The sequence below is a fragment of the Homo sapiens genome, chromosome X, assembly GCF_000001405.40.
Source record: "Homo sapiens chromosome X, GRCh38.p14 Primary Assembly".
Classification (NCBI taxonomy): domain Eukaryota; kingdom Metazoa; phylum Chordata; class Mammalia; order Primates; family Hominidae; genus Homo; species Homo sapiens.
In genome coordinates this window covers 147097679-147125246 of record NC_000023.11, presented here as the reverse complement: position 1 = coordinate 147125246, position 27568 = coordinate 147097679, and positions in this window count along the sequence as shown.

Genomic DNA, 27568 nt, shown 5'->3' with positions numbered 1-27568 from the left:
GATGAAGTAACAAGAGCTCTCATTCATTGCTGATGGGAATCTTAAACAGTCCAGCCACTTTGGAAGACAGTTTGGTATTTTCTTCTCAAGTCAAACATAGTCTTACCAGCAATCATGTTCCTACGTATTCGTTTGATTTAGACAATTACGCCAATACAAAAGCCAGCGTGTGGATGATTATTATAGTAGCTTTAATCATAATTGCTGAAACTTGGAAATAGCCAAAATGTCCCTCAGTAGGTGAACGGACAAATAAACTGTAGTATATCCATACAATGAAATACTCTTTAAAGGAAAGAATGCATTAACGATCAAGCTATGTCAAATTATGGAGGGAACTTACGTGTATGTTTAGTGCTCAGTGGAAGGAAGCCAGTCTGAAAAGGCTGTGTACTGGATGATTCCAATTATATTACATTCTGAAAAAAGGCAAAATTCTGAAGATGGTAAATAGATCAGTGTTGTCAGGGGCTCGGAGATCATGAGTGGGTTGAATAGGTGATGTAAATAGGATATTTGAGGGCAGTGAAACTATTCTCTATGATTCTGTAGTAGTAAACATTTGACACTAGGCATCTGTCAAAATCCACTGGATGTTACAAAACAAAGAGGCAAACAGTGTATGCACATTACAAAATTACCTTTCAGGAGGTCAGGAGATTTTGGGATGTAATGGCAACTCTGATAAAATAACCTGACTGTTCTGTATTACAAATGTATGAACCAACCTCATGGAAGAAGCGAGAGAAAAGAGTGTTGAGCAAAGTAACTTTGAAAATAAGTGGAATCTGTAGAAAATAAAGACAAAAATGAACCAAGAAAAGTACGATACTTTAGTTGAGAAAGTTGTTTCCTGTGAGAGTAGAGGCTAACAATTCTGAAAACCACTCTAAATATATACTAGGATTGACCAATTAGGTAAATGCATAGGGAATGGTAGGAGCCAGTTTTCTCAATGTTACAGTGGGTGTTTACAGATAAACGAGAGATAAGACTAGAATGCCTCCTATGGTAGTGCACTGAAGTTGGGGACATCAGTCTGAACACATATTTAGCTTAATAGAGAGACAAATGATTACATAAAGAAATATTTCAAGATATATGTTGTGTTGCTATAAAGGAATAACTGAGGCTGGATAATTTATAAAGAAAAGAGGCTTATTTGGTTCACAGTTTCACAGGCTGCACAAAAACTATTGTGCCCAAATCTGCATCTGTTGAGGGCTTCAGGTTGCTTCTACTCATGATGGAAGGCAAAGGGGAGCCATTGTGAAGGGATCAAAATGGGAAGAGAGGAAGTAAGAGAGAGAGAGGGGAGGTGCTAGGCTTTTTTTTTTTTTTTTTTTTTTTAACAACCAGCTCTTACAGGAACTAACAGAGTAAAAACTCCCTCCCTCCCTCCCCATCAGGGAGGGCATCGATTTATTCATGAGGGATCTGCCCCTATAACCAAAACACCTCCCATTAGACTCCACCTCCAACATTGAGGATCAAGTTTTGAAATGAGGTTTGGTGAGACAAACAACCAAACTATGGTATGTGTGTATATATTGGTTAGTATACATCTATTTATTTACTTCTTCTATTAGCTATGATCACCTAGAATCGATAATACTTTTGTACTAAAGAATATACCATATGTTCTCATTTATAAGTGGGAGCTAAATGATGAGCACATATGGACATAAACATAGGAACAATAGATACTGCGTATTACTAGAGCAGGGAGGGAAGGAGGAGGCACATGTTTAAAAAACTACCTATTGGGTACTATGCTCACTACCTGGGTGCAATATGCCCATGTAACAAACCTGCACATGTATACCCTGTAACTAATATAAAAGTTGAAATTAAAAATCATATAAATCTAGCTAGCCCACATCTTCATTTCCAAAACCACTCTCCAGCATAAGGACCTGGGGCTCCTTGGAAAAATGGATGATTCTAGGAATGAATCGGAAAACATACAAGATAATCCTGGAGCATCTTGTAATACAATAAAATAAGCAAATGCAAAAGAAAAACACAACACAACAAAACAAAAAAATCTAAATTGATAACGGTATGTCAAATGGGTACAAGTATAGACTGAAACAGCTCCCAATAGACAGAGGGGGAACATATTGAACAATAAAGTACTACTGAATTAGAACTCAAAGTATAAAATAAATATTAATGAGTCCATCCCACTATAAACAAAATATTCAATCAGTAAATAGATAGAAGAGAAATCTTCCTGCAGAATGATTTCATGTAATTTATGGAGATATTCCACTATCAAGATGGTAGAACATAACCCCCCACTTTTTAAGTTTTGGCTACATATGGTCACTTCCTTTAAAAGGCTATAACATTGAAAGAAAGAAAAAAATAAATAAGCATGACTTTCCGTTGGAAGAACCTGCAAAAAAATTACTTCAGGTGACCAAAGTTAATATCAACAGTGATAAGTCACGTAAGTATGTACTCTTATACTATGTGATGAACGTGGCACTTTACCTCTTTAGTCTTTTTCCCAAAAGAAGATTATCCCATCTCCAACCTAAGAAAACATTAGATACATTTCAACTGAAGGGAATTCAATAAAATATCTCTCCTGTACTCCTCAAAATTGTCAGGGTGATCCAAAAACAAAAAGAATATTTAAGTAACTCTGAGTCCAGATAAGTCTAGGGAGACATCACTAAATTTAATAATATATACCCTGGATGATATCCTGGAAGAGCAAAAGGACACTAAGTTAAAACCTAAGTAAACCTAAATGAAAAGTAGACTTTAGTTAATAATGTCATTATTATGATAGTTCATTAACAGTAACAAACATACCACGTTAATGTGAGCTATTAAAAATAATGAAAACCGTGTGTGGGAATTCTGTACTTTGTAAGGAAACTCTGTACTATGTTTGCAATTTTCTGTAAATCTAAAACTTGTACATTTTTAAAAAATTATTAGGAAAAAACTGTTTCTTCCTTTCACTTGTACTCTTTTCTGCTGTGTCTTATCTACAATTTGTCCACTGACTTTTAAAACATTTCTAATGAACATGCATTTAATTTCAAGAATTTCTAATTTTTCACGTGCACCACTTCCCATTTCAATTCATGCTTATTTTTAACCCAAAGGAGTGCAATGGCGCACTCTCAGCCCACTGCAACCTCCACCTCCCAGGTTCAAGCGATTCTCCTGCCACAGCCTCCTGAGTAGCTGGGATTACAGGCATGCACCACCACGCCCGGTTAATTTTGTATTTTTAGTAAAGACGGGGTTTCTGCATGTTGGTCAGACTAGTCTCAAACTCCTGACCTCAGGTGATCCACCCGAAAATTAAAATCGGCCTCCCAAAGTGCTGGGATTACAGGCGTGAGCCACTGCACCCGGCTCATTTTTGTTTTATGCATAAAATTTTTTCATTTATCTCCTTGAACCTTGTAGTCATCTTTAAGTTAAAAATGATGTTGGATTTATTTATAATTTCCATGTCTTCCAAAGTTAACACATTTTCTATATTTTTCACTTTATGGTATTTTTAATGTTAACTTTTCTTATGTGTTTGCAAGTCGGTTTGCTGATTTACTTATAGTAGGACTATTTTATTTTCTTATTTTTTCATGTGCTCAAATCTCCCTGACAAATGGACTTGATATTGCTTTAATTTGATCCCTAGAACAGAACCACAAAGGAAAATATTATCATAATTGATTTCTTGTCACAGATGCAGTCTCTAAGCCAGCAGGCAGCTTAGCCGAGCTCCTAGCCGCAAGGATGGGCTTCTCAGTTCCAGCATCCGCTGTTAAACCCTAGCTTCAGTATGAGCTTATAGCTTTTTCTTGGTATCCTTTCACGGGTGGTTGATTCTTGCCTATATTTTTGGTTGAACAAGCATTAGTCCCCGCACATGTTTGCTGCACTATTAGCCTCTGCTATCTCTTGGAACTTAAATGTGTGGTTGTCTTGACTTGCTCCCCTTCACTAATCTCATAAAGTTCTCATCCTATCTTCCTTACCACTTTGTATTTATGTTTGATTTCCATTTTATAGAGATTTTAATTTTCCTTTTGAGTATAAGTCTTTTAATGTTATATAATTTTTAGAGATTTGCTCATTGTTTTGATCAGCAGAAGCATTTCCAATTTGGATATATAGTATCATCTAGGCCAAATTGTTATAAACTTTTTTTTTATCAAGACATAAATCATGCATTCAGTTGAGTTTGGGAACTATTTGTACTCACTTAAATTCTGAAAATAAAGCAGTATTTAATAAAAAATAGGTATGGAGAGTGAATCACAAGGTTATTTCACACTACCATAAATTTGAGATGTCAAAAAATATGCATAAATATGGGTTTGGTTACATTGTATTCATATAAAGAGATAATCTTCATTCATTCTTTCATAACTATTGAGGACTATTTAATGACACAGGAGTATTTTAATAAATATTACATGACTAATTGATTTTCCTATATTAACACAAACTTGCGTCCCTATAGTTAGCCATACTTGGTGATGAGATAATTTTATATCTAGTTGCACTAGATTTGGTGTTATTTTATTAATGAGTTTTTCCTGCATATTAGTGAGGAATACAGGCTTATTTTATATATATATATATATAACATAAATATATATATATAACATATATATAACATATATATAACATATATATAACATATATATATAACATATATATAACATATATATATAACATATATATAACATATATATATAACATATATATAACATATATATAACATATATATATAATTTCTTAGAATATCTTTGGTTTTAGTTTCAGAATAATAATTTCCTCATAAAATGAGTAGGAAAGTAATCTTTTCTATTTTGGAAAGATTTTCAAAAGATTGATGCTATTTCTTTCTTAAACATTTAGAATTCAACAGTAAAGCATTTTTAAGTGGCTACATGGCTATTCTAAAGTTTTATTTATTGTGTCAATTTTGATAATTTGTATGTTCCGCACATGGCTTTCAATGACCCCTGCGCTTCTTGGTATTCACATCCCTGTGGTATTCTCATTCCACTATTGTAGGCTAGAGCTAGTAACTTTCTTCCAATGCATAGACTATGGCAGGAATGATGGAATGTTTCTTCTGTAATTAGACTAAAACGATTTTCACCTCTCTCTTGCTGGTATTCTCTCTCTCTGAGTCTTCTTCTATGTTTGCTGTTACAGAGAGGGCTTCCTGGCAAGGAGGAGCTTTCAGCCAACAATCAGCAAGAGACTGAGCCCCTCTGTCTAATATTCCTCAAGAAACTGAATCCTGCTACCAACCACCTGTGCAAGCTTGGAAGCAAATACTTTCTCAACTGACCCTTCAGATGTGAGAGATTACAGAACCTGGCTTGACAGCTTGGTTGTGGCCTTCTGAAGGGCTTTGAAGCAGAGGACCCAGATAAACCATGTCCAGATTGCTGACCCATAGACATTACAAGATGATAAATATGTGTTGTTTTAAGCCACTAGATTTTTGAATGGTTTGTTACGTAACAACAGACAATGAATGCGACTTATTTAGTGGATCTTGTTCACTTCCAGTGTTAGTGATTTCTGATTGTTTTTAAATTTAATTCTGTTTCTTCTACATACTGTTGTTTTAATTTTCAATTCTTTAATTTTTTAAAACTACTTTACCAATGTATGATTAGCATACAGTCCACTGCACATATTGTAAGTATACAATTTAATAAGTTTTGACATTTTATTTATTCTATTGATATTTTATTTAATTATCTACATAAAGGATCAAGGAAAAAAGCCAGTTTTACTTCTTTCTCATATGACTTCGTTTTTTTTTTTTTTTTTTTTAGCTTATTACACTGTATAGGACCTCCAGTAAAATGTTAAACTGATAGATAACAGGAAACATCCTTGCATTTTTCCTGATCTAAGAGAGAAAGTATTCATTCCTTAATCATAAAGTATAATGCAAGCTATGCATTTTTTGGTATATAACCTTTATCAGGTTATTTCTATTTGTAGTTTGCTGAGATGTTTCTATCTGCCATTAATATTAGATTTTATCAAACATGTTTTCTGCATTTATCTGTCTTCAACTTCATTATTTACTGTTCTGTATCTAGTGTTTTGATAAGCCCTTTGAAAGAATTGTCCACCTCGTCCAGGAGCTCTTTTAACATAGATGACTTACCACCACCTTGCTCTGCCTCCCCCTAACTCGTTTTAAAAATATCTTTACTTTGTAGTTCATCTTTCTTGCTCTCATTGTTATAATGATAGCATTGTTTTGCTGCAACTGTTTATATCTTCCAGAAAGACAAGGCCAAGTTCCATCTGATCTCATTCCTGTTCTTTCATATCTAGTATAAATATTTTCTGTATTTATTACTTATCAACTCCTTTATTTTCTAGGACCCTCACTCATCATATAGATCTGGCTGTTCCTGAGAAAGTTTCATATTTCTCTTTAAAATATGGTGTGTTTTGAAACAAGCAATACATATTGTAAAAGCATCTTGAATAGAAAAAATAAGATTTTTACAGGGAGGGCCTTCATTAACTAAATATTACCTCAAACTTATACATTCATTGTGCATTGTGTGCATGTGGGTGGGTTAGAGAGAGAAAGAAAGACAGAGAGAGAGAGGATTTGACGACTTAATCAAATTTTCTAAAATGTTCTTTGTGGTTTTTTTCTTGTAACATAATAAATTTAAATAATTCAAGTGAAGATATAATCTGAGTAGTTCCTGAGACTACTGTGTTGATTACTAACTGTCAAAATCAAAATTCTTGATTTGATTACATGGTCAAAATCAATCCATGAGCTAAACATTTAACAATCAGTACAGCTTCTAAAATTCCTATGTACAGGTCATGGCCTTATTTAGGACAAGGGACTTATATTTAATCCACATAGACAAAGAAAACTGGTAACAAATGGTCATCTTTATCTAAGTAATATTTTAAAAGATATCTCAATAAGAAAGATGTTTTCCAAATTACCTGGAGACTTATAAAATATTATAAATGAAAAAATGGTGAGAATAAAAATAAATTAACAGACTTCCTTCTTTCAGGATTGTTTTTTTTCCTTGCTTTTGTACATTCTAGATTTATAGACGTGACTGAATAATTAGAAAAGGGAAATGAGGAAAATATCCAGAAAATGTTGACTGGAAGAGAGCCCTCTGTCAATTTGATGATTTTCTACAATTATATTTGACTAAAATTAATATAAACAAATCAATTGGAATTTTGAGCATTTTTTTTGTGTGTTAACGTGTACTGTAGATGCAGGGCTACCTCCAGTGTATTTTTCTTTATTAGATAGAAGATGAGTCCTCACACATTTAAAGCTCATAGCTAACACTTGGCTTTGGGAGTTTTTTTTTGTTTTTTTTTTTTGTTTTTTTTTTTTAGCAGATTTTACTTGATGTGAAGACAGCCAAATATGCAAAAAAAAAAAATTGTCAGCATTTTCTGGTGCTGCTTCTAATTCTTAGTAACAGTAGGATGAGGCAAATTTAGAGTGTCAACGAGGCACTTTTGATGGTCTTTTTTGGTTTAGATAATTTCAGTGCATGTAAAATCAATGTAGGCAACAAATATTACTTTGAGTCAGATTCGTACATTTAAAATTTGGTTATGTTTTGATGCACCAGTAATTTGGGGGAAATTAAAATTTTAGATTTTTAATAGGCCCTCAAATATTTATATGCAGCTGCAGAGGTCCAGGTTATTGGGTAAAACAAGTTTGAAAAATGCCTTTACATATTGGTCAATAGCATTTATTTTCTTCAATGAATAGGCAGGTAACACTTTTGCACAAAAGGGTAAGGAAATATGTTTTTAGAAATATATTTTAATGCAAAATATGGAAACTGTTTAATGATTGTTTTGTTTCAACACTTAAGATAATTGAGGTAGGATATTCTCAATGACAAAATGCGGCCAGTACTTTACCTCTAATGTATCTAACTATATAGATAGATGTGTGTGTGTGTGTGTGTGTGTGTGTGTGTGTGTGTGTATAATCAACAGACATTTTATGAGTTGCATCAAAATGTCAGCTTTAGACGGATTAAGCTGACTTGCAAAGAATAAGACTCTTATATTTATTCTGTTCAAACAATGCACTGCAAATCCCTTCCATGTAATCTAAAAGAAGGATTACCGTAAATGAGAAAACTTTATAGAAAGACTCAGTGGAAATCTTAAAAGACATTCTTTATCTCCAAAACATTTCAGTGTGCCAAAAGTTACAATAAACACGGATTTAGTGTAACCATAGGACAATAAAATAAAGTGAAAATTTTGAATATCATGAAAAGACTCTGGTACCTAAAAGGAACAGTACCTTCAACTTAAATGTTGCAAAATATATCAGAAACCAAGTAGCCCCTTAAGCATCTCATAAGAGATAAAAATCAGAAAACAAGCAGAATCCTTTTATATAAAATATACAGATTTAAACAGAGGCAGAAAAAAATACACTTTAGTAGTACGTGTTAAGTGTACACAGATTTGGAAAAATAGATCACATTTTGAATGCTGTTTCTTTTTTCTTTACTTCACTTGAAAGCAGAGAAGAAACTATCATTTCTTGAGTACCCTCCATTGTGCCAGAAACTGTGTTGGGTAATTTAAATGCATTATTTTACTTATCTCAAGAAGTTTTTACTTTAAAATGAACTCAGCCTACAATGTTAAAAGGAAATATTGTATTCCTACTACAATCAGGAAAACTAGATGTAAAAAATAATCAGTAAATATTTTCATAGATGTATATTCACAGAGTGCATGTTTAGCCTTGCATTTCTACTTACGTATCTAAAATACTAACTTTTCAAAAATTTTCCTAGCAGTATGACATGTTTCAGAGAGAAAATCTTTACAAGTTGGCTACATCACGTTTTCTGTCTGAGCATCAGAAAGAAATGTGTTTAAGGCAGTGTATCTTGAATATTTACCGTTATTTAATGCCGCTGTAGTGCTCTTCGGATATAAAAGAGGAATGAGCTATAAACTTGATGTTATATAGTGAGTATAAAAAGAATGACCCGTGCTAAATGAAAAGTGATCAACATAGCATAATATTTAAATGCTAACTTTGATATAGTAAAATATCAAAAGTATTTTTTAAAAAATTTATGGGTTGAACAGGAAGGAAAAAAAACAATTCATGGAAAGGTATGGAAACTGACACGATCATCTTTGCAAAGATGGAAAGAGTATTTCCAGTTAAGGCGATAAGAAGTGCCAAGAGATAAAAGCAAGAGTAAATGTCACAGGCATTAGGAATTAGCAGATGATGTTTCCAGGAATAATGGGCACATGCTGGGGAGTGGCAGAATCTAAGATTGGGTGGGATAGGTAAAGCTAGCTTAGCAAAGTATAATCAATCTTATGCTTAAAAGCATGAGGAAGTTTAATTTTATTTGTAGCTATTATAGGTCTTAAAGTAGAGTGAAGAATAATGCATGACACTCCACAAAAACAATCTTTAAATCTTTATGTTTGTCACAGTGGGGGTGCATAAATAAACTGTCTTCAAGGTGATCAGTTAAAAAACTATCGCATTTCTTCAGACGTAAGATAATGTGGAACCTAGGTTGGGATGATGTTAGTAGTAGCTGAGAAAAAACTATGCTTCAAAAAGTATTCAATTAATGAACAACTTTTATAATATTTTAGATCCATAGAAATGAATAGGTTGAAATGAAGGATGAATAAAAATGCCATAGACAGAAATTGTATAGTGAGAAAAACAACAGTTGACTCTTGTCTGGTTCCCTCACTAATTACGTATGTAAACCTAAGCAAGTCACATTCACTTTGAGGTTTGTTTTTCCTTCTGTAAAATGAAGAGATTGTATTAAACCTCTTAAACATTCTGTAAATACTTGAACGGAAACGATAACTAAGGAATAATGATAAAAGAGTTTTATAATTGATAATGTTGTATGAGGTGAAGATGGCACATCCATGTTTGATACATGGGAGAAGAAAAGATTTAATGCTTAGGTGTTAAGGTCATCATCAATTCTGTGCAATCGTGAGTCATAACAATAACCATGCTATCAACTACAGTTAGGTGAACAGACTAGATCTCAAAATACAAACATCACAGATATATATGTGGATAAACAATTAAACAAAACCATTATTCTTTATGCTTCTGACATCCTGGTATATACTCTCTTTGGGCTAATTACTATTTAACAACCTAGTTATTTATCGAGTCAAAGGAAATATTAAGGGATTAGGTAAAATGTAAAAGTTTCAGGAAAAATAGTCAGGTGAAGCAATTTTTATTCCTTAAAAATGAAGTCATCAAATTATGGATGCAGATCTTATTCTTTTTTTTTTTTTTTAACTTTTAAGTTCAGGAGTACATGTGCAGGTTTGTTACACAGGTACATTTGTGTCATGAGGCTTTGTTGTACAGATTATTTCATCACCCAGGTATTAAGCCTAGTACCCACTAGTTATCTTTCCTAATCCTCTACCTCCCACCCTTCACCCCACTCTCCAATAGGTCCCAGTGTGTGTTGCTCCCTTCTGTTTCCATATGTTGTCATCATTTAGCTCCAAATTATAAGTGAGAACATGCAGCGTTCGATTTTCTGTTCCTGAATTAATTTGCTAAGAATAACAGCCTCCAGCTCCATCCATGTCCCTGCAAAGAACATGATTTTGTTTTTTTATGGCTGCATAGTATTCCGTGGTGTATATTTACTACATTTTCTTTATCCATTCTACCATTGATGAGGATTTAGGTTGATACCATGTCTTTGCTATTGGGAATAGTGCTGCAATAAACATACACAAGCATATGTCTTTATAATAGAAAGACTTATATCCCTTTGGATATATATCCAGTGATGGGATGCCTGGGTTGAATGGTATTTCTGTTCTTAGCTCTTTGAGAAGTTTCCATACTGTCTTCCACAATGGTTGAACTAATTTACACTCCCACTAACAGTGTATAAGTGATCTTTTTTTCTACAGCATTGCCAGCATCCGTTACTTTTTGACTTCTTATTAATAGCCATTCTGACTGGTGTGAACTGGTATCTCATTGCAGTTTTGATTTGCATTTCTCTAGTGATCAGTGATGTTCAGCATTTTGTCAACTGATTGTTGGCTGCATGTATGTCTTCTTTTGAAAAGTGCCTGTTCATGTTCTTTGCCCACATTTTAATAGGATTGTTTTTTTTCTTCTTGTAAATTTAAGTTCCTTATAGGTGATGGATATTAGACCTTTGTTAAATGCATAGTTTTCAAAATTGTTCTCCCATTCTGTAGACTGTCTGTTTACTTTGTTGATAGCGTCCTTGCCTGTACAGAGTCTCTTTTGTTTAATTAGATCTGATTTATCAATTTTTGCTTTTGTCATAATTGCTTTAGGTATCTTTATCATAAAATGTTTGCCCATGTCTATGTCCTGAATAGTATTGCCTAGGTTGTCTTCCAGGGCTTTTACAGTTTTGGGTTTTACATTTAAGTCCTTAACTCATCTTGAGTTCATTTTTGTACATGTTGTAAGGAAGGAGTCTAGATTTAATCTTCTGCATATGGCTAGCCAGTTATCCCAGCACCATTTATTAAATGGGGAATCCTTTCCCCATTGTTTGTTTTTTTGTCAGGTTTGTGGAACATCAGATATTTGAAGATGTGGGATCTTATTTCTGGGTTCTCAATTGTGTTCCTTTGGTCTATGTGACTGTTTTTGTACCAGTGCCATCCTGTTTTGGTTACTGTAGCCCTGTAATATATTTTAAAGTCAGGCAACAAGCTTCCAGCTTTGTTCTTTTTGCTCAGGATTGCCTTGGCTATTTGGGCTTTTATATTGTTCCATATGAATTTTTAAATAGTTTTTTCTTGTTCTGGGAAGAATATCAGTGGAAGCTTAATGGGAATAGCCTTGAATCTATTCATTGCTTTGGGAAGTATAGCCATTTTAAAGATATTGATTCATCGTATGCATGAGCATGGGAGGTTTTTCCATTTATTTGTGTAATCTCTGATGACTTTGAGCAGTGTGTTTTGTAGTTTTCCTTGTATAGAACTTTCATCTCCATAGTTAGCTGTATTTCTAGGTATTTTATTCTTTTTGTGGAAATTGTAAATGGGATTATCTTCCTGATTTGGCTCTCAGCTAGACTGTTGTTCGTGTATAGGAATGTCAGTGACTTTTGCACATTGATTTTTGTATCCCAAGACTTTGCTGAAATTGCTTATAAGCTTAAGAATATTTGGGGCTGAGACTGTAGGGTTTTCCAGCTAGAGGATTATGCCATCTGCAAACAGGGACAGTTTCAGCTCCTCTCTTGCTATTTGGATGCCTATTTTTTTCTTTCTCTTGCCTGATTTCCCTGGCCAGGACTTCCAATGCTATGTTGAATAGCAGTGGTGAGAGAAGGCATCCTTGTCTTTTGCGGGTTTTTAACGAGAATGCTTCCAGCTTTTGCCCATTCAGTATGATGTTGGCTATGGGGTTGTCATAGTTGGCTCTTATTATTTTGTGGTATGTTCCTTCAATTACTAGTTTCTTGAGAGTTTTTAAAATGAATGGATGTTGAATTTTATCAAACGTCTTTTCTGCATCTATTGAAATAATCATATGCTTTTTTTCTTTAGTTCTGTTTATGTGATGAATCACATTTATTGATTTGCATATGTTGAACCAACTTTGCATCCCAGAGAAAAAGCCCACTACATCGTGTTGGATAAGTCTTTTTATGTGCTGCTGGATTCGATTTCTCAGTATTTCATTGAGGATTTTTGGATTGCTGTTCATCAAAGATATTGGACTGAAATTATCTTTCTTTGTTGTATCTCTTCCAGGTTTTGGTATCAAGATGATGCTGTCCTCACAGTTAGTTAAGGAGGAGTTCTTCCTCTTCAACTCAATATTTTGGAATAGTTTCAGAAGGAAAAGTACCAGCTCTTCTTTGTACATCTGGTAGAATTCTGCTGTGAATCCATCTGGTCTGAGCTTCTTTTGGTTGGTAGGCTATTTATTACTGACTCAATTTCAGAGCTTATTATTGGTCTGTTCAGGGATTCAGTCTCTTCCTGGTTCATTCTTGGGAGGTGTATGTGTCAAGGAATTTGTTCATTTCTTCTCTATTTTCTAGTTTATGTGCATAGAGGTGTTTGTAATATTCTTTGATGGTTGTTTGTATTTCTATGATATCAGTGGTGATACCCTTCTCATTTCTGATTGTGTTTAGTTGAATCTTCTCTCTTTTTAACTTTATTGGTCTAGTTAGTGGTCTATCTATATTATTTATTTTTTCAAGAAGCCATCTCCTGTATTTGTTGATCTTCTGAACATTGTGTGTGTGTGTGTGTGTGTGTGTGTGTGTGAATCTTCTTCAGTTCAGCTCTGATTTTGGTTATTTCTTGTCCTCTGCTAGCTGAGGTATTTGTTTGCTCTTGGTTCTCTAGTTCTTTTGGTTGCCATGTTAGGTTGTTAACTTGTAATCTTTGTCACTTTTTGATGTGGGCATTTAGTGCTATAAATCTTCCTATTAATAATGCCTTAGCTGTGTCCCAGAGATTCTGGTATGCTGTATTTTTGTTCTCATTAGTTTCGAAGAACTTCTTGAGTTCTACCTTAATTTTATTGTTTATCGAGAAGTCATTTCAGAGCATGTTGTTTAATTTCCATGTAATTGTATGGTTTTGAGTGAATTTTTGAGTGTTGAATTCTATTTTTTTGTGTGCTGTGGTCTGAAAGACTGTTATAATTTCAGTACTTTTACATTTTCTGAGGAGTGTTTCACTTCCAATTATGTGATCAAATTTAGAGTATGTTCCACGTGGAAGTGAGAAGAATATGTATTTTGTTGTTTTTGAGTGGAGAGTACTGTAGATATCTATCAGGTCCATTTGATCCAGTGCTGAGTTCAGGTCCTAAATATCTTTGTTAATTTTCTGTCCTGATCTGTCTTGTCAGTGGGATGCTAAAGTCTCCCACTACTACTGTAGGATTGCAATTCCTGCTTTTTTTCTATTTTCCATTTGCTTGGTAGATTTTTCTCCATCTCTGTATTTTGAGCCTATGTATATACTACTGCATGTGAGATGTGTGCCTTGAAGACAGCATACCAATTGGTCTTGGTTCTCCATTCAGCTTCCCATTCTGTGTCTTTTAATTGGGGCTTTCAGCCCATTCACATTTAAGGTGAGTATTGATATATGTGTATATAATCCTGTCATCATGTAGTTAGCTGGTTATTTTGCAGACTTCTTCATGTGGTTGCTTCATAGTGTCACTGGTCTGTATCCTTCAGTGTGTTTATGTAGTGGCTGGTAACGGTCTTTCCTTTTTATATTTAGTACTTCCTTCAGGAGTTCTTGTAAGGCAGGTCTGTTGGTAATGAATTCAATCAACATTTGCTTGTCTGAAAAGGATCTTATTTCTCCTTTGCTTATAAAGCTTACTTTGGCCAGATATGAAATTCTGGGTTGGAATTTCTTTTCTTTAAGAATTTTAAATATTTGCCCCCAGTCTTTTCTGGCTCATAGGCTTTCAGCTGAGAGGTCCACTGTTAGTCTGGTGGGCTTTTTTAAATTTTTCTTTCATTTTGACCTTGGAGAATCTGATGATTCTGTGTCTTGGGGATAATCTTCTTGTGAAGTATCTTACTGGGGTTCTCTGCATTTCCTGAATTTGAACATTGGCCTCTCTAGCTAGGCTGGGGAAGTTCTCCTGGGTGATATCCTGAAATATGTTTTCCACATTGGTTCCACTCTCCTCATCTCTTTCATGGACACCAGTCAGTCCTAGTATTTGTCTCTTTATGTAATCCCATATTTATCAGAGGTTGTTTGTTCATTTTCATGAACATTTTCTTGAATGCCTATCATTTTTTTTCTGAAAGCCAGCCTTCAAGATCTGAGATGATTTTCTCTGCCTCATCTATTCTGTTATTAATACCTGTAATTGCATTGTAGAATACTTGTAGTGTGTTTTTCAGCTCTATTAGGTCAGTTACATTCTTCTATATACTGGCTATTTTTTCTGTCAGGTCCTACAATATTTTATCATAATTTTTAGCTTTCTTGCATTGGGTTACAACGTACTCCTGTAGCTCAGTGAAATTTGTTCCTATCCATAGTTTGAATTCTGTTTCTGTCATTTCAGCTATGTCAGCCTCAGCCATTTCTGAACCCTTGCTGGATATTTGATGCGGTCATTTGGAGGAAAGACACTCCAACTTTTTGAATTTTCATTGCTCTTGTGCTGAGTCTTTCTCGTCATTGTGGGCTTATCTACCTTCAAACTTTGAGGTTGCTGGTCTGTGTGTGTGTGTGTGTGTGTGTGTGTGTGTGTGTGTGTGTGTGTGGGGTGGGGTGTTTCTTTTATCGTATTTGATGACCTTGAGGGTTTGGTTATGGTATAAGGTGGATTCAGCCAACTGTCTTTGTTTCTGGGAGGTTTTAGGAACTAATGCTCAGCTCCCAACTCCAAGACTGTGTTCTAACTCTGGGGGACTTGAATTGGGCCCCAGTGTTTTTCTCCATCCCCTCAGGGTTTGGAGTCCACTGCACTGCGGGGGGCCTAGGTACAACAGCTACAACAGAGCTCTAGTGGATACAGGGGTGGCTGCTTCCCTGTGGGCATTCACCACAGTGGTGGGGGCAAAGAAGCTGGATGGAGAGTGGTGTGTCCCTGCTGGAGATTGTGCGTGCTGTTGCACTGGAGCTGGTGTTAGCTTGGGGTGGGATTCTGGTGGGTTCATGTCTGGGTGCCTTCTCTGTGTCCTGCAAGAAGGAGTGCTAACTCAGGGTGTGAGAGGATCCCCTATTCTCTTCGTAGGGTTAGCATAAGGATGGGGTGCTGGTGGGGGTGGGGCTTTCAGGCTCTGTGCCTGCCAAGGCTCTGTCTGCAATGTCAGTCAGCAGGGGTTGGGGGGAATACTGCATTTCCACGTGCTGGATTGGCAAGTAAAGCATAACCCATCCATGCAGACCTGCACCAGCAAAGTGATGTGGGAGCTTGTTGTGGGCTCATGGGAATCTGCAGTATGGGGAGGGAACGTGCAGGCTAGGGAATGGCAGTAAGAGCTGTCTTGCTGGAGCTCTCCATCAGTCAGGAACAGAAGCTATGTTGTGGGCCCCAGGGTACCCGAGACTGCCCTGTAAGCAAGCGTGGTCAGACTGGGGCCCGGGGAGGCCAACAGACCAACGAGTGCTCAGGTTGGACTAGCCATAGCAGATCCTATTCTAATCAGACATCTACATGATGTTATGGAAGCACAGAGGAGGGAATGTCTAACTATTGTGGAAATGGGGACTGTTGAAAGCTTTAATGGGAAACTTCAAAAAATTTTTTTCTAAGAATATTGTAAATATAGCTTTCAGAAAAAATAAGAATGGGAAAACTTAAATCACGTGTCAAAATTGTATCTGTTCTTTATCTCATATAGCTCTCAGAAGAATATTTTACATATATATATAAAAAATATATATATATATACATATATATTCTTTGTTATCATATCTTAGAGAGCAATGAATCTTACTGCAAAGCATGCTTCAGGCTTCTATGTACCTAAGAGTATGTGTCATTGCACTGTGGTAGGAAAATGCTGGTTTCTTTACTGGGCCCACGTTTTCTTTTAAAAACTTATAGAAATAGTTGGGTGGCTCTGTGGTACACACACCCTTCAAAACCTGGTTATTTAAAAATTTCTTCTGCAATCTGGATATATATCAGCTGATGGCACTTGACCTTGTTAAATGACTTACTTAGCTAGACTTCAGGTCTCCGCAGTACTGACAACACACATTACCCAATTAGAAAGTGGTTGAGCTCTAAATGCTAACTTGCACATTACTTGTTTGGAGATACGGCATTTTCCTTTAGAAATAATCTTCTAAATGATAAGTTTCTTACACAGTTATCTTTGAAAATATATTTAACCTATGTGTTCATTGAAATATATTTATATATTTATCTTAAGTATTTTTTAAAAGCTTGCAATTCTAGCATTTAATTCAAATTGTAAAATAATAAACCAGTATTTCATTTAGCTTGGTATAGAAAGATAAATGAGTCAAATTACAGGATGATGAGACTATAGATACAGATTTTTAGGAGAATATAAATGGGTTTTCTGGGCAAGTTGGCACTTTTGGAGGTTTTAAAGATTAAGTTATTTTAAATATTTACTGCCTTATTAAATAATATGGGTTTTCTTTGCATTGATAGCTTAAAAGACAAACAGTTCTATTTTGTACTACAAAAAGAATCAAGGGAAAGAACATGTAATAGACTGCAATGCATTATGATAATCCAGCCAGAAAAAGAGATGATTGGGAAGATTTTAGAACCAATCCTACTAAAGTAAGACATGAGACAAAGAAGCTCATTATTTCTTACTCCATTTAATTATGTAATGGAAGCCCTAGCTGATACATTAAGGCAATAATATAAATTAAAAATGCAAGAATAAACAACATAGCCTTTATTTGTGGATGATGTAATTGTCTACATAGCAAATCCATGAGAATATAAAAATGATTATTAACACTAGAAAGGCAATTCAGCAAAGATGCTAGATACAAAAAATGTAGAAATATGACATTCTTTCGATACAAAAACAAAAACAAAGTGATTACAAGGTAAAATAGAATGAAGTAATTTTATTTTTGGTAAACAATAACTACAGGTATCTTTTTAAAAAATAACAAGATTTGCAAGATTTTTATGGATAATATAACAAAATTTTATTTAAAATCATGAAGGAAGATCTGAGTGTATTAAAAATGTAGTAAAATAGCTGAAAGAATCAAATCTATAAATTTTTAATTATTCCTTCATTAAACTAAATATTTAGTAAGAGTATAATCAAAACTTCCAATAGGTATTCTTGTAGAACTTGACAAGTTACTATTAAAACAACAGGGAGCCAATAATAGCCAAAACACTTCAAAAGAAACACAAGTTGGCATACTATATATGTCACCACGGTACTGAGTACATCTAACACAAAAAAATACGTAAAATGAAAGAGGAAAAATGTAATTTTTTAAAATGAAGAATATTAGTCAGCTGTGGAACAGTTCTAATGGGCTCAATGTAAACGTGTTTTGTGTCCTGTAAACAAGGGAGGGGACAGAAAAATATTGAAAGAATAACTATTTTTTTCCAAAACTGTGATAAAAACTATAGTACCACACATTCAAGAACCTCAAAGAACCACAAGCACAAGAATCATGAAGAAAATGACACGAAGGCATATCACAATCAAATTGTCAAAAACTGAAAAGAGTATCTTGAATGTAGCAAAAGGACAAAGGACCTGTTATGTATAGAGGAACAGAGAGAAGTATTGAAACAGTTTTGCCAGCAGAAATATTGCAAGACAGAAGATGATGGAGTGACATCTACAGAATACTTAAAGTAAAAAAAAAAAGCAATGTAAACCTAGAAAATCATACCCAACAATAACATCTTTCAAATTCCAAGTTGCAATAAAGAATTTTAAAAACAAAAGTAGAAAGAATGCATCAGCAACAAGCTACGTTAGAAGACATGATGTAGAAGTCTTTCAAGGAGAAAGGAAACAGTACCCCCTAGAAATCTGGTAGGAAGCCAGGAGGAACATCAGAAGTGGTACCTATACAAATAAAATGCTAACAGAATACATAAATATGTGAGGTTTTTAATCATTATTTCAATCTGTTTAAATAATACTTGTTTGATTAAACAACAATAGGAATGTGCTGTAGGAGTATATGTGCATGTGTGTGTATGTGTGTGAGTGTTTGTGTGTGTGTGTGTGCGTTTCTCCTCAGGAGTGGAGACATGAAAGTATATTACTTTGAGATTTTATACTATACGTGAAGTTGCGTAATATGATGAAAATAGATCAAAGTTAAAAATGTATGCTATAAACTGAAAGCACTAAAATTACAATGAAAACAAAAGTATAGTTAAAAATATAACAAAAAGGATAAAATAAGCAAATAAAGGAGGTATATGACGTCTACAATAAATGCAGTTAAAATTTAAAAGACACAGATAGGTTACAAGTAAAATCATAGTAAAAGTGATACCATGCTATCTAGTTAAAAGAAAGATAGGAGGCCATACTAACATCATAGAATACTGCCACAGATAATAGAGGACATTGTATAATTGTTAAGAAGTACATTCATCAAGAGAACATAACAATCCTAAATTTTTATCAACACTGCCCCTAAACACAGAACTTCTAAACACTGGAAGAAAATAGTGACTGAAATCCAAAAGATATAGACAAAAATCAAAATTACATTGGAAATCTAAATACTGTTAATAACTGATAAAGCAAGTAGTCAGAAAATCATAAAAAAATTGCATATTTGGTTAACAGTATTGACCAACTTGACATAATTGATACTTACAGAACACTCTGAACAATAGAATGCATATCCTTTTCATGTTATATCCCCACAATAGAATTAAATTAGAAATCAGCAATATAAATTTATCTAGAAAAATCACTAAATATTTGAAAAATAAAGAACATACTCTAAATAATCCATGGGTCAAAGATAAAATCAACTACAATTCTAATGTATTTAGCAATGAAAAAATAAAAACATAATTTATTTGAATTTGCAGAATGCCACTGTATTAGTCTATTCACATGCTGCTAATAAAGACATATTTGAGACTGGGTAATTTTTAAAGGAAAGAGGTTTCATTGACTCACAGTTCCACATGGCTGGGAAGGCCTCACCATCATGGCTGAAGGCAAATGAGGAGCAAAGTCACATCTTACATGGTGGCAAGCAAGAGAGCTTATGTAGAGGAACTCCCTTTATAAAACCATCACATCTTGCGAGACTTATTCACTATCATGAGAACAGCATGGGAAAGACCCGCCCCACGATTCAGTTACCTCCCACTGGGTCCATCCCACCATGACACACAGGTATTATGGGAGCTACCGTTCAAGATGAAATTTAGGTGGCGACACAGCCAAACCGTATCAGCCACTAAGGCAATAGTTAGTGAGAAAAATTTACAGCACTAAATTTTGGTATTAGAAAACTAGAAGGGCCTTCAATCAGTGATCAAAATTTCCACCTTAAAAAAAACCTTTAAAAAATAAATCCCAAGTTAGCAGAAGAAAGGAAATAGTCATGATCAAAACAGAAAAGCAATAGAGACAATTAATGAAACCAAAATCCTGTTCTAGAGAAACCTCTAGCCAGACTGGGAATGATTGCAATATACATTCTTATTTAATTTTACACACACACACACACACACCACAAACTAGGATAAATTTTCTATTACTAGCTTTGGGGAAAATGGACAGTTCACTCACTAGTTTTACAACCATCTAAACCATCAAACCATTAAGGGAAGGTTGCTCAATGTAAAATGCAATGCCACTTGTGAAAAATGTAAAATCACATGCAACATTTTACCAGCTGCCACAAATTAACTTGCTTAAGTATGACTACAGGCGGAATTTGTGATAGAATGATAGACGTGTCTGCTCAGGATATGATGGGAAATCTATCAGAGAAAAGGTTGCCTGTAAGTTTTTCTCAGTACATCATGAATCATGACTTTATAATGGGTATTGGGAAATCAAGAGGCTTTAGGTAATAGTACTGAAAACTAATTAGCTTGACATTTTAATAAGGTTTCACCAAAAACTGTGGCAAAATTATGAGAATGATGACATTAGCCTGGATTAATTCAAGACTGACAAAGGCATATTATTTTCCTTTCCTGATAATAGGAAGTCAGGGGAAACAGTTGCATCGAAACCCAGATGACAGATATATTACCAATTATCAGTGAGCCTGGGTTGTTGTTGTTGTTTTTTACCAACTATATTGCCCAATCTGTAGTGCAGAGGCTATTCACAGGCATGATCGATTTTAATGCACTACAATCTCAATCTTCTGGGCTCAATGAATCCTCTTGCCTCGGACTCCTGAGTAGCTGGAACTATAGGCACGTGCCACCATGCCCAGTAGGATCCTGTTTTCTTCATCAGTAAATCTCAGTGTAAGAGGCAGATGGTATTGAAGACAGGAGATATGCATTATCACTTGTAGAATACAGTGTAAAGTTTCACATTTAGATATATATTCCTAATTTGGAAAGATACTTCAATTTTGTTAGGTAATGGTGTAGGGACAGATTTTTTAATGAAAAATTCAAAGTCTAAATTTCCATTGACTGGCAAAGCCAGTGCCAAAAATTTGTATAGTTATCCAGATGTCCACCTATTTTATGCTTGTAAAGGTAACATGCATAGTATTTGATATGATTTGTGAAAACCTGTACATTCTGAGTTTGGTGATTTTAAGAATGCTATACCAGCACCAAAAATCTGCTGTTTTATTCTTTCCACTTGATTATTATAATTATTAATGGCAAATACTCTTTGCTTTTAACAAGCTTTTACTTTTTTAATCACATTGTCTTTGATCAGGTGATCTGCAACACATTTATATTTCATCAGTTACTTTTATTTTCTAAAATTAGTAATTCTAACCCATATGTCCCTTCAAAGATTCTTATTTGCCATATAATCAACTCTTTATATCAGCCTGTTTTCCCTCCTTTTTATTTATCTCAAAATTTTAACTCAGTATCTTAATAGCTGACCCCTGTTGATTGTCACACTGCTTCAGTTTTGGAATGACTTTCATGCCAAAGTTTCCACATTTCCCTATGGAAATTTTTTTTTATCAGTAGGCACATGTTTGTGACAACTCTATCAAAAGAAATTAATCACACAACCTCCAAAGCACCACTTACATTATGACTTGGTTTTCTTCTGACATTTTATGAATTTCTAAAAATGCCTTTTCTCTCCCCCAGAGTCCTATGTCATTTTACTGTTTTCACTGTTGTGTCTATTGTCTTCACAAAATAATGTGCTTCTTTTAAGTTCAGGGGTACACGTGCAGGTTTGTTATATAGGTACACTTGTGTCATGGGGGTTTATTGTACGGAATATTTTGTCACTCAGGTATTAAGCCTGGTACACATTAGATATTTTTCCTGATCCTCTCCCTCTTCCCAACATCCACCCTCCAATAAGCCCCACTGTGTGTTGTTTCCCTCTATGGGTCCATGTATTCTCATCATGTAGCTTCCACTTATAAGTGAGATGTGGTATTTGGTTTTCTGTTCCTACATTAGTTTGCTAAGGATAATGGCCTGCAGCTCCACTGATGTTCCTGCAGATAACATAGTCTCATTCTTTTTTATGGCTGCATAGTTTTCTATGGTGTGTATGTACCACATTTTCTTTATCCAGCCTACCATTGATGGACATTTAGGTTGATTCCATGTCTTTGCTATTGGGAATCGTGCTGCAATGAACATCCAAATGCATGTGTCTTTATAATAATATTTATTTGGGTATATACACTGTGATGGGATTGCTGGGTTCAATGGTGTTTCTGTTTTTAGCTTTTTGAGAAATCACCATTCTGTCTTACACAATGGTTGAACTAATTTACATTCCCAGTAACAGTGTATAAGTTCTCCTTTTACTCCACAACCTTGCCAGCATCTATTATTATTTTACTTCTTATAAATAGCCATTCTGAACAGTGTGTGACAGTATCTCACTGCAATTTTGATTTGGATTTCTCTAATGATCAGTGATGTTAAGCATTTCATCATCTGATTTTTGGCCATGTGCATGTCTTCTTTTGAAAAGATTCTGTTCGTGTCCTTTGCCCACTTTTTAATAGGGTTGTTTTTTACTTGTAAATTTGTTAAAGTTTCTTATAGATTCTAGATATCAGGCCTCGGTCAGATGCATAGTGTGCAAAACTTTTCTCTGATTCTGTAGGTTGTCTGTTCACTCTTTTGCTGTACAGAAGCTCTTTAGTTATAGCCCATTTGTCAATTTTTGCTTTTGTTCCAATTACTTTTAGTGTCTTCGTCATGAAATCTTTGCTTGTGCCTATGTCCAAGATGGTATTGCCTAGATTGTCTTTCAGGGTTTTTATTTATGTGTAGGGTTTTAATCCATCTCGAGTTAATTTTTGTATGGTGTAAGAAAGGGTCCAGTTTCAATCTTCTGCATATGGCTAGCCAGTTCTCCCAGCAACAATTATTGCATGGGGAACCCTTTTCTCATAGCTTGCTTTTTTCAGTTTTGTTGAAGATCAGATAGGTGTAGGTGTGGGGCCTTATGTCTGGGTTCTTAATTCTGTTCCGTTGGTCTATGTGGCTGTTTTTGTACCAGTGCCATGTTGTTTTGGTTACTGTAGCCCTGTAGTATAATTTGAAGTTGGGTAGTGTGATGCCTTCAGCATTGTTCTTTTTGCTTACCTTTGCCTTGGCTATTTGTGCCATTTTGTTTTGTTTCATATGAATTTTAAAATAGATTTTTCTAATTCTGTGAAGAATGTTAATGTTAGTTTAATAGGAATAGCATTGACTCTATAAATTGCTTTGGGCAGTATGACCATTTTAACAATATTGATTATTTCTATCAGTGAGCATGGAAGGTTTTTCCATTTGTTTGTTTCATCTCTGATTTCTTTGAGCATTGTTTTGCAGTTCTTTTGGTAGAGATCGTTCACCTCCCTGGTTAACTGTATTCCTAGGTATTTTACTCTTTTTGTGGCAATTGTAAGTGGGATTCCTGGTTTAGCTCTCATCTTGAGTGTTATTGGTGTATAGGAATGCTAGTAATTACTGCACACTTATTTTGTATTCTGAGACTTTGCTAAAGTTGTTTATCAGCTTAAGAATCTTTTGGGAAGAGAGTATGGGGTTTTCTAGACATAGGATCATGTGGTCTGCAAACAGTGATAGTTTGAATCCTCACTTCCTATTTGAATTCCTTTATTTCCTTCTATTCCCTGATTGCCCCTGGCCAGGACTTCCAGTAGTACATTGAATATGAGTTATATGACAGGGTATTCTTGTGTTGTGCCGATTTTCAAGAGGAAAGCTTCCAGCTTTTGCCCATTCAGTATGATGTTGGCTGTGGGTTTGTCATAGACGTCTCTCATTATTTTAAGGTGTGTCCCTTCAATACATAGTTCATTGAGTTTTTAATATGAAGGCATCTTGAATTTTATGAAAAGCCTTTTCTGCATCTATTGAGATGATCTTGTGTTTTTTTGTCTTTAGTTCTGTTTAGGTGATCAACCACATTTATTAATTTAGGTATCTTGAACCAACCTTGCATCCCAAGAATAAAGCCTAGCTGATCACGTAGATAAGCTTTTTGATGCGCTGTCGCATTTGGTTTGCCAGTCAGTGTTTGGTTGAGGATTTTTGCACTGATGTTTATCAAGAATACTGGTCTGAAATGTTTTTGTTGTTATTTGCCAGGGTTTGATATGAAGATGATGATGGCTTCATAGAATGAGTTGGGGAGAAGGCCCTACTTCTGAATTGTTTGAAATAGTTTCAGCAGGACTGTACCAGTTCTTTCTACATCTGGTAGAATTCAGCTGTGGCTCCATCTGGTCCTGAACTTTTTTTGGTTGGTAAGTTATTGTATTCATTCATTCTCACAATGCAATAAAGACATAGCTGAGACTAGGTAATTTATAAAGAAAAGAGGTTTAATTTGCCCACAATTCTGTAAATGTATAGGCTTCTGCTTCTGGGGAGGCCTCAGAAAACTTACAATCATGGTGGCAGGTGAAGGTGAAGCAAGCATGTCTGCACATGGCCAGCAGAAGAGAGAGAAGCCAGAGGTTCTACATTTTCAAACAAACAGATTTTTGCCTGGGTGAACTCTATCCTATGATAGAACGATCTCCCACCAGACCCTCTTGCAACACTGGGAATTACAATTCGACATGAGATTTGGATGGGGACACGGAACCAAAACATATCATTTTTCCCCTGGCCCCTCTCAAGTCTCACGTCCTTCTCACATTTCAAATCAAAATTATGCCTTCCAAAGAGTCTCCCAAAGTCTTAACTCATTCCAACATTAACTCAAAATTCCAAGTCCAAAGTCTCATCTGAGACAATGCAAGTAGTACCTTCTGCCTATGAGCCTATAAAATAAAACCAAGGTAGGTACTTCCAAGATACAATGAGGATTCAGGGATCAGGTAAATCCTCCCATTCCAAAAGGAATAAATTGGCCAAAACAAAGGAGCTACAGGCCTCATGCAAGTCTGAAGCCCAGCACGGCAGTCATTATATTTGAAAGGCCCAAAATTATCTCCTTTGAATCCTTGTCTGGCATCCAGGGCACACTGATCGAAGTGGTCAGCTCCCAAGGCCTTGGGAAGCTCTGCCCCTGTGGCTCTGCATGCTTTCATGGGCTGGTGTTTAGTGCCTGTGGCTTTTCTAGATCCACAGTGCAAGCTGTCAGTGGATCTGCCGAGAGAGAGAGAGAGAGAGAGAGAGAGAGAGAGAGAGAACACAAAGGAACTGCACACTTTCAAACAACCAGATCTTATGGGAACTCTATCACGAGAACAGCAAGGAAGAAGTCCACCCCCATGATACAATCACCTCCCACTAGGTACCTCCTCCAGCACTGGAAATTACAATTTGACATGAGATTTTGGTGAACTCATATCAGCTATTTATTACTGACTCAATTTCAGAGCTCATTGTTGGTTTGTTTTGGGATTCAATTTTTTCCTGGCTCAGTCTTGCACGAGTGTATGTGTTCAGGAATTTATGTATTTCTAATAGATTTTCTTTTTTTTTTTTCTTTTTTTTTTTTGAGATGGAGTCTCACCCTTTCACCCAGGCCAGACTGCAGTGGTGCTATCTCGGCTCACTGCAAGCTCCGCCTCCCAGGTTCACGCCATTCTCCTGCCTCAGCCTCCTGAGTAGCTGGGACTACAGGCACCTGCCACTGTGCCCGGCTAATTTTTTTTTGCATTTTTTTTAGTAGAGACGGGGTTTCACTGTGTTAGCCAGGATGGTCTTGATCTCCTGACCTCGTGATCTGCCCACCTTGGCCTCCCAAAGTGCTGGGATTACAGTTGTGAGCCACTGCGCCTGGCCATAGATTTTCTAGTATGGGCATAGAGGTGTTCATAATATTCTCTGATAGTTGTTTGTATTTCCGTGGGTCAATGGTAATATCTACCTTGTAATTTCTAATTGTGTTTATTTGAATCTTCTCTCTTCTTTTTTATTCTAGCTAGGAGTCTATCTCTTTATTAATTTTTTTTTCGGAAAACCAGCTCCTGGATTTGTTGATCTTTGGAATGCTTTTTCATGTCTCAGTATTCTTCAGTTCAGCTAATGTGCCTTTATTATAAGATGTCCGCAAGTGACCTAAGCAATAGATAATGTAAATTATTGAATTTGCTAGATTCTTTTTACCATTTTCATGCAGGATTGAGGCAGTAATTTCTTTGAGCACTTAGCAAGAAATGCCTGGCCATTTTCTTTCACGACTGAAGCTTATGACCTTCAGCTATTAAACTTGGAAGTTTCAGTCACTCTACTACGGCTATGGATTGCTTTGAGATCTAAATTCTCCTATGCTCTATGAAAATAAATCTATCTCTTTATGATAAAGAAAAAGCTTATCTTTTGAGATAGATACTGCATTGTTCTAGTGACCCACAGCAATGTTGTTCCATGGCTTCCCCTAAGCAGGTTTGACATCTAACTATCATGAATCTTTGATGGACTATGTAGCTACTGTTGCCCCTTCCTCTATTCAAGGATTACACAAAAGGTGAAACTCATCCCACTGGTTACTAAATAAATGCCACATTTCATTCTGAGTTTATCTCATACTATATTTTGTGAAAAAATGATCAGGAAAATGATGACTTTGTTTATTGTTCTTCCTAAAAAATGGGATTGCTTGCTCACTGCAAACACATACTAGCTGAAAGTTTCTAAGGGCCTCTGAAAGAAGTGAAGGCCATGATTATAACAACCCTTAAGAGTAGCAACACCTCATTATTTAATGCTTAGTTGAGCAGAGAGTTAGAGACCCAAATGTTTATTCATCTCCACCTCCATGTGCCCAAATGAAAAAAGAAATACTTTATCTTCCAACAGAGATTTTGTGTGGGTGGGAGAGAGGATACATATGTGTCCTTCTGTCTCTCTCTATCTGGCAAATGGAGGTGAGACTGAAGACCAAAGATTTAGAAAAGGGCAGTGGTGTTTAGGAAAAACAACATCAACCTGACACTTTCAAAGAAACATAAGAAAAAGTTCCTCCTGTTGAAGATTATCGGGGGAACCCACCACCAATGATTCAACGTGAGTTCTTTTCTATTTTCCTAGGTGTCGGCTGGTCTGAGAAATAAAGGGAAAGAGTACAAAAGAGAGAAATTGTAAAGCTGGGTGTCTGGGGGAGACATCACATGTCAGCAGGTTCCATGATGCCCCCCAAGCCGCAAAACCAGCAAGTTTTTATTAGTGATTTTCAAAAGCGGAGGGAGGGTATGAATAGGATGTGGGTCACAGAGATCACATGCTTCACAAGGTAATAAAATATCACAAGGCAAATGGTCACAGGACCGGGGCAAAATTAAAATTGCTAATGAGTTTGGGGCACGCATTGTCTTGATAACATCTTATCAGGAGACAGAGTTTGAGAGCAGAAAACCAGTCTGACCAAAATTT